General features: G+C 54.3%; 1 protein-coding gene and 1 long non-coding RNA gene across 2 annotated transcripts, besides 7 other annotated features; one reads left to right on the top strand and one right to left on the bottom strand.

The window, feature by feature from the left end:
- Nucleotides 1-42: 42 nt before the first annotated feature.
- RPS21 (ribosomal protein S21) lies at nt 43-1,460 on the bottom strand. The gene is made up of 6 exons (NM_001024.4): nt 1,427-1,460; nt 1,175-1,242; nt 889-952; nt 649-720; nt 199-254; nt 43-106 (listed from the first exon to the last, which is right to left on the bottom strand). The coding sequence occupies exons 2-6, from the start codon at nt 1,222-1,224 to the stop codon at nt 97-99; spliced, it is 252 nt and encodes an 83-aa protein (NP_001015.1). The 5' UTR covers nt 1,225-1,242; nt 1,427-1,460; the 3' UTR covers nt 43-96.
- Nucleotides 611-1,302: an enhancer, noted in NCBI's record as "H3K27ac-H3K4me1 hESC enhancer chr20:60962317-60963008 (GRCh37/hg19 assembly coordinates)". NCBI's record gives its function as "activates a minimal SCP1, AML or CMV promoter by ChIP-STARR-seq in primed H9 embryonic stem cells {active_cell/tissue: H9 hESC(primed)}" and the evidence as "EXISTENCE:reporter gene assay evidence [ECO:0000049][PMID:30033119]".
- Nucleotides 611-1,372: a biological region, named in NCBI's record as "H3K27ac-H3K4me1 hESC enhancer GRCh37_chr20:60962317-60963008".
- Nucleotides 1,183-1,372: a silencer, noted in NCBI's record as "silent region_13111". NCBI's record gives its function as "represses an Ori minimal core promoter by ATAC-STARR-seq in GM12878 lymphoblastoid cells {active_cell/tissue: GM12878}" and the evidence as "EXISTENCE:reporter gene assay evidence [ECO:0000049][PMID:35858748]".
- Nucleotides 1,303-1,994: an enhancer, noted in NCBI's record as "H3K27ac hESC enhancer chr20:60961625-60962316 (GRCh37/hg19 assembly coordinates)". NCBI's record gives its function as "activates a minimal SCP1, AML or CMV promoter by ChIP-STARR-seq in primed H9 embryonic stem cells {active_cell/tissue: H9 hESC(primed)}" and the evidence as "EXISTENCE:reporter gene assay evidence [ECO:0000049][PMID:30033119]".
- RPS21-DT (RPS21 divergent transcript) lies at nt 1,574-2,260 on the top strand. The gene has a single exon (NR_186459.1). It is a non-coding gene; the product is annotated as an RPS21 divergent transcript (long non-coding RNA).
- Nucleotides 1,803-1,922: a silencer, noted in NCBI's record as "silent region_13110". NCBI's record gives its function as "represses an Ori minimal core promoter by ATAC-STARR-seq in GM12878 lymphoblastoid cells {active_cell/tissue: GM12878}" and the evidence as "EXISTENCE:reporter gene assay evidence [ECO:0000049][PMID:35858748]".
- Nucleotides 2,273-2,322: an enhancer, noted in NCBI's record as "active region_18200". NCBI's record gives its function as "activates an Ori minimal core promoter by ATAC-STARR-seq in GM12878 lymphoblastoid cells {active_cell/tissue: GM12878}" and the evidence as "EXISTENCE:reporter gene assay evidence [ECO:0000049][PMID:35858748]".
- Nucleotides 5,367-5,546: an enhancer, noted in NCBI's record as "active region_18199". NCBI's record gives its function as "activates an Ori minimal core promoter by ATAC-STARR-seq in GM12878 lymphoblastoid cells {active_cell/tissue: GM12878}" and the evidence as "EXISTENCE:reporter gene assay evidence [ECO:0000049][PMID:35858748]".

Genomic DNA, 6,186 nt, shown 5'->3' with positions numbered 1-6,186 from the left:
CCTCAACCCTGGGCCTACAGACACAGAATGAACCTGCACAGGTAGGTTTTCATTATTTATTTATGACAAATATTCCACATCTGTGATTCTCTCCAGTCAAAAGTTCCTAGAACCAGGGGAAAAGGACAACGTTAAGACCACGCCTCTGGAGCAGTCCTAGTCCACTCACTCTGCCCAAATGTGAGCCCCCAACCTTACTTTGAGACGATGCCATCGGCCTTGGCCAATCGGAGAATGGAATCATCTGACTCACCCTTAAGAAAAAAAAAAAAGCACACTAAGAATATTTCCACTCCGGCTGCCTGAGATGGCAGAAGGTCAGCTGTGCCACCAGCCCACGTCTCTCCCCCGCTGAGCGAATGGAGACAGGCGCAGAAGGGGAGCCACCTCTCCCGGGGCAGCCTGCAGCCTGACTATGGTGGAGCGGGGTCGGGGGGGCACCTCCTAGTGAGAGGCAGAGTCTGCTGCCTGAGTGTCTTCTCAGAGCACCCCTCTTCCACCCTCAAGAAGCGGCAGGCGGCCAGCCCAGTCCAGCTGGCTCAAACTACTCTGCCAGCAGATCTACTCAGGCACCATCACACACTCCAATGCGCACGGTAAAGTCCACGATGTCCCGAAGTGATGAGCAAAGCCCAGGGAAACACTCACCATCCTACGAATGGCCCCGCAGATAGCATAAGTTTTAAACTGGCCATTAAACCTGCCTGTGACCTTGTCAACCTAGAAAGAGAAGAAGGGTCACAAACCACTCCCCCAGGTTTGGGAAACACCAATCCTCAAAGCCAGCCTCTGCCTGTACCTTCACCCCAGGGGCTCCTCCACAATGGGACAGCCTGCCTTTCCCGCACATATATCACAACCTTCCCGCCTCCCGGGCTCCCAGCTCACCTCGGCCACGTTCATCTGGATGGATGCGTGGTCCTTGGCACCGATGATGCGATTGCTAGCGGAGCTGTGGAGAAAGGGCGCAGTGAGCAGAGGGGACTTGGGCGGTAAGAATGAAAGAGGGGACGAGGGAGGTTGGGGGTATATGAATGGAAAAGAGTAACGTCGGGGGCAGGACAAGTTAGGGACGTGACGAGGTAAGGACGGGAGGGGTGTGGGGGAACAAGGGCAGGCGAGGGGACGTGGTGGTTAGGTAAGGACGGAAGAGAGGCATGTGGGGGGCGCTTACCATTTCCGCGGCACGTACAGGTCCACGAACTCGCCGGCGTCGTTCTGCATTTCGAGGCTGGGCTGCGCCTGGGGAGTCACCGCGCGGCGCCGTGAGTACGGCCGGAACCGTGCCCCGGCTCCCGGCGCAAACCGGCCCCTAGGGTCACGGCCCCAGCCGCACCCAGCACCCCGCACCCCGTCCCCCGCGTCCAAGCCCCCACTCCCGCCCCAGCCCCAGCCCTGAGCCCGAAGCCCGCGCCGCGCGCCACACCTGCTGCCACCACACCGCGCGCGAGAGAGAAAGGAAGCAGCTAGTCACCCGGCAGAGATATCGGCGGGCAAGGAGGGGCCTCGGCGAGCGCTTCCGGGTCACGCCACCACAGCGAGTCTGCGCGGTGCGTGCTTGCCGGCCGTCGCCGTGACGCACTTCCGCTTCCGGCAAGGAGGTTCTCGGACCCCAGCCTGCTGGCCCTGGGGCGCGGGGCGTCGTGGGGGTCGTTGTCGTTGAGGGTCGTTGCCGTGTGTGGCGTCTTAGCCTGGCCCCTGGGTTGTGCCCCACGGACGCAGTCGACCCCTCTGAGCGCCTCGGGAGCCCCGAATAGCAGCTGGGAGAAGGGGCGAGGACTGAGCCTCGCTGCCCGCTGCCGGCCGGGCTAGAGATACGGGCGTGCCCCCCATTGTGCGCCTCCCGCCCTCCGGTCCCCTCACCCTGCGGCCACCTGGGGCGTGGGGCGGTGCTCCTGCCCGTGCACGTAGCCGCTGCGAGCGGAGGCCTGCTCACCTGGTGCCTGCTACTCACTCCCCCGGGCCGGTGGGCGAAGGACACCCGCAGGAACTCGGCAGAGGAGAAATTCAGACGGCTCCCGAGGGTAGGAAAAGACCCCGGCCCACCGTGGAATCTGAAACACCCGACCACTCTGCCATCCCATGTTTCACCAGTCAGACCCCCAGGGCAGGGCAGGGGAAGCAGAATGCAAACTGGGGCACCGTTTCCCTGAAGCGTGTTGGCCGCGTTTGTCGTAGTGCTAGAGGTGCATACCCTTGGACCCCGAAAACCCATTCCTGGGAATTTGCTCCAAGGAAGTAAAGATGTTACAAAGATGGACCCACGAAGTATGGTCGTTGGTTATGGGTGGGGTCTTGAGGAAGGCCTTGTTAGTAGCCTGAACCCTGTTGCCAGGAGAAGCTCCAAACCGGTAGACGGAGGGAGCAGCGCGGCCTATGTTGGGGTCTTCTCTGGGCGGGGGACATGATCCTAGGATGTAGAACTAGCCTCAGAAAACTTAAGACTCAGTGGCCAGGTGCGGTGGCTCAGGCCTGTAATCCCAGCGCTTTGGGCGGAGGTGGGTGGATCACCTGAGGTCAGGAGTTCGAGACCCGTCTGGCCAACATGGTGAAACCCCATCTCTACTAAAAATACAAAAAATTAGCTGGGCGTGGTGGCAGGCGCCTGTAGTCCCAGCTACTCGGAAGGCTGAGGCAGGAGAATGGCGTGAACCCGGGAGGCGGAGCTTGTAGTGAGCTGAGATCCCGCCACTGCACTCCAGCCTGGGCGACAGAGCAAGACTGCGTCTCAAAAAAAAAAAGTTTTTTTATGTTTAATTTTTTGGGTACATAGTGGGTGTGTACATTTATGGGGCACATGAGATATTTTCATACCGGCATGCAGTGCGTAGTAATCACATGGGGTATATGGAGCATCCATCACCTCAAGCATTTATCCTTTGCGTTACAAATAATCCAATACTATACTCTTTTAGTCATTTTAAAATGTGCAATTAAATCATTATTGACTGTAGACACCCTGTTGTGCTATCAAACACTAGGTCTTATTCTTTCTGTCTTTTTATACCCATTAACCATCCCCATTTGCCCCCCTCCTCCCACTGTTCTACCCTTCCCAGCCTCTGGTAACCATCTTTCTACTGTCTGTCTCCACAAATTCAATTGTTTTAATTTTTAGCTCCCACAAATAATAGTGCTGTGATAAACATCGTAGCACATGTATCTCTTCCTTTCTTTCTTTTTTTTTTGAGACAAAGTCTCGCTCTGTCACCCAGGCTGGAGTGCAGTGGTGCGATCTCGGCTCACTGCAACTTCTGCCCCCAGAGTTCAAGTGATTCTCCTGCCTCAGCCTCCTCAGTAGCTGGGACTACAGGCATGAGCCACCACACCCGGCCAGGTATCTCTTTCATATACTGATTTCCTTTCTTTTGGGTATATGCCCAGCAGTGGGATTGCTTTATTTATGGCAGCTCTATTCTTAGTTTTTGTTTGTTTGTTTGTTTGTTTGTTTGTTTGTTTGAGACGGAGTCTTGCTCTGTCTCCCAGGCTGGAGTGCAGTGGTGCGGTCTTGGCTCACTGCAACCTCCACCTCCCAGGTTCAAGCGATTCTCCTGCCTCAGCCTCCAGAGTAGCTGGGATTACAGGGGTCTGCTACCACGCCTGGCTAATTTTTGTATTTTTAGTAGAGATGGGGTTTCACCATGTTGGCCAGGCTGGTCTTTAACTCCTGACCTCGTGATCTGCCCGCCTTGGCCTCCCAAAGTGCTGGGATTACAGGCGTGAGCCACTACACCTGGCCTACCAAACATTTTTTAAAGAACTAATACCAATCCTACTGAAACTATTCCAAAAAATAGAGGAGGAGGGAATGCTTCCAATCATTTTATGAGGCCGGTATTATCCTGATACCCAAATCAGACAAAGACACATCAAAAAAAGCAGATTAGAGGCCAGGAGTGATGGCTCATGCCTGTAACCCTAGCACTGTGGGAGGCTGAGGCAGGCAATTGCTTGACCTCAGGAGTCTGAGGCCAGCCAGCCTGGGCAACATGGTGAAACCCCTCTACAAAAAAATTTAAAAATTGGCCGGATGTAGTGGTGTGTGTCTGTAGTCTCAGATGCTCAGGAGGCCGAGGTGGGAGGATCAGTTGAGCCAGGAGGTGGAGGCTACAATGAGCCATGATCATGCCACAGAACTCCAGCCTGGGTGACAGGAGACCCAGAAAAAAAAAGAGAGAGAAAGGAAGGAAAGAAAGAAAGCCACAGACTGGCAGAAAATATTTTCAAAACCTGTATCTGATAAAAGACCTGTATCCAGGCTGGGTGCAGTGGCTCACTCCTGTAATCCCAGCACTTTGGGAAGCCAAGGCGGGTGGGTCACCTGAGGTCAGGAGTTGGAGACCAACCTGGCCAACATGGCAAAACCCTGTCTGTACTAAAAATACAAAAATTAGCTGGGCCTGATGGTGCACGCCTGTAATCCCAGCTACTGGAGAGGCTGAGGCAGGAGAATCACTTGAACCCGTTGGGCAGAGGTTGCAGTGAGCCGAGATCTCGCCACTGCACTCTAGCCCGGGCGACAGAGCGAGACTCCGTCTCAAAAAAAAAAAAAAAAAGGAAAGAAAACATATGTCCATTCGGAGACTGGTACTGAAATGTTCATCGAGGCTTTATGTGTCATAGCCAAAAATGGAAACAATCCACACATACACCAACAGGCAGATGGATAAATAATGGTACGTCCCCCTCGAAAGACAGCATACTGTGTGATTTTATTTGTATAAACTCTAGAAAATGCAAACCAATCAAAACTGACAGGAATCATGTTGGTGGTTGCCTGGGGTGGGGTGGTGAGCAAGTGGGATTACAGACGCACACAGGAAACGCAGGGAGTGATGGGAGGTATATGCTGTCTTGATGATGGGATTACAGACACACACAGGAAACGCGGGGAGTGATGGGAGGTATATGCTGTCTTGATGATGGCAATGGTTTCACAGTTGCATATAAAAGTCAAAACATTGGCCAGGTGCGGTGGCTCATGCCTGTAATCCCAGCACTTTGGGAGGCCAAGGCAGGTGGATCACAAGGTCAGGAGATCGAGATCATCCTGGCTAACATGGTGAAACCCCGTCTCTACTAAAAATACAAAAAATTAGCCGGGCATGGTGGCGGGCTCCTGTAGTCCCAGCTACTCAGGAGGCTGAGGCAGGAGAATGGCGTGAACCTGGGAGGCGGAGGTTTGCAGTGAGCTCAGATCACGCCACTGCACTCCAGCCTGGGCGACAGAGCAAGACTCTGTCTTAAAAAAAAAAGTCAAAACGTCAAATTGTATCCTTTAAAAAGTGGATTTTATTTTGCATCAATTATAGCTCAAAAATTTTACAGAGACTATAGGTGCTATTTGGCAAGACTCTAGGACGCACTCACTCACACAAAGCTTGAAGTCCGCTCTCTGGGCGCCGGGTCTCCAAGGCTGAGTTCTTCAAGGGAAACCTCTGCAACCTAAATCTCCTGAGCCCACGAAATCTGGATGAGCACTTCTTTAAGAAAACCTTCTGTACAAAATCGCAGACCCCCAAAACAGAGAGGGGAGTGTCCTCCCGAGGGAAGCCGTCTGGGTCGCTCCATCAGGAGAGCCTCCAGGGGCCTGCAGAGGAGGTGGCACTGCTTACCTGTCAGGAGGCTTGGGGCCACCAGCACTGTCCCCAGAAGCCACTAGGTGGTGTCTGAGAGCAGTGCTGGAGCAGGGACGGGGCTGGCTGAAGGGAGCTGAGCCCCTCCCCTCCATCCCTCCACCCGCTGTCTGTACAGTAAGTTGTTTACTGGGCCTCCAGTGGGTCTCGTGGGAAAGGGCCAGAGGGCAGGTGTGAAGGAGGGATTGAGGAGGCAGGAGGACCTAGCACTCGAAGACACCGTCGGCCTGAGCCTTTTTTGCAGAATCCTAGAGCAGCCCCCAGCGGCTCAGAGCAGTTGCTGCCTTTGCAGGGTGATCCCAGTCAGGGTCTCTGAGTGCCCCTGCATCCACCTGAGAGCACACTCACACCTGCTTCTGCCCCGCAATTGCTATATATAACTTTGACTGCCAGTGTCACCCCAGGTTTGTGCCTCTTTAGCAGTGTGACCTGGCACAAATTCCTTAGCTGCTTCTCCCTCTAGCTGTAAAGTAAAGCGACTGTCATGGAGCCACCCAGCCGTGCTGCAGTTGGCTGCTTTCAACAAACCAATGCCTGTCCAGTGCTCAGA

The sequence above is a fragment of the Homo sapiens genome, chromosome 20, assembly GCF_000001405.40.
Source record: "Homo sapiens chromosome 20, GRCh38.p14 Primary Assembly".
NCBI lineage: Eukaryota > Metazoa > Chordata > Mammalia > Primates > Hominidae > Homo > Homo sapiens.
The sequence above is the reverse complement of the archived record's forward strand: the minus strand, read 5'-3'. Positions and strand labels throughout refer to the sequence as shown.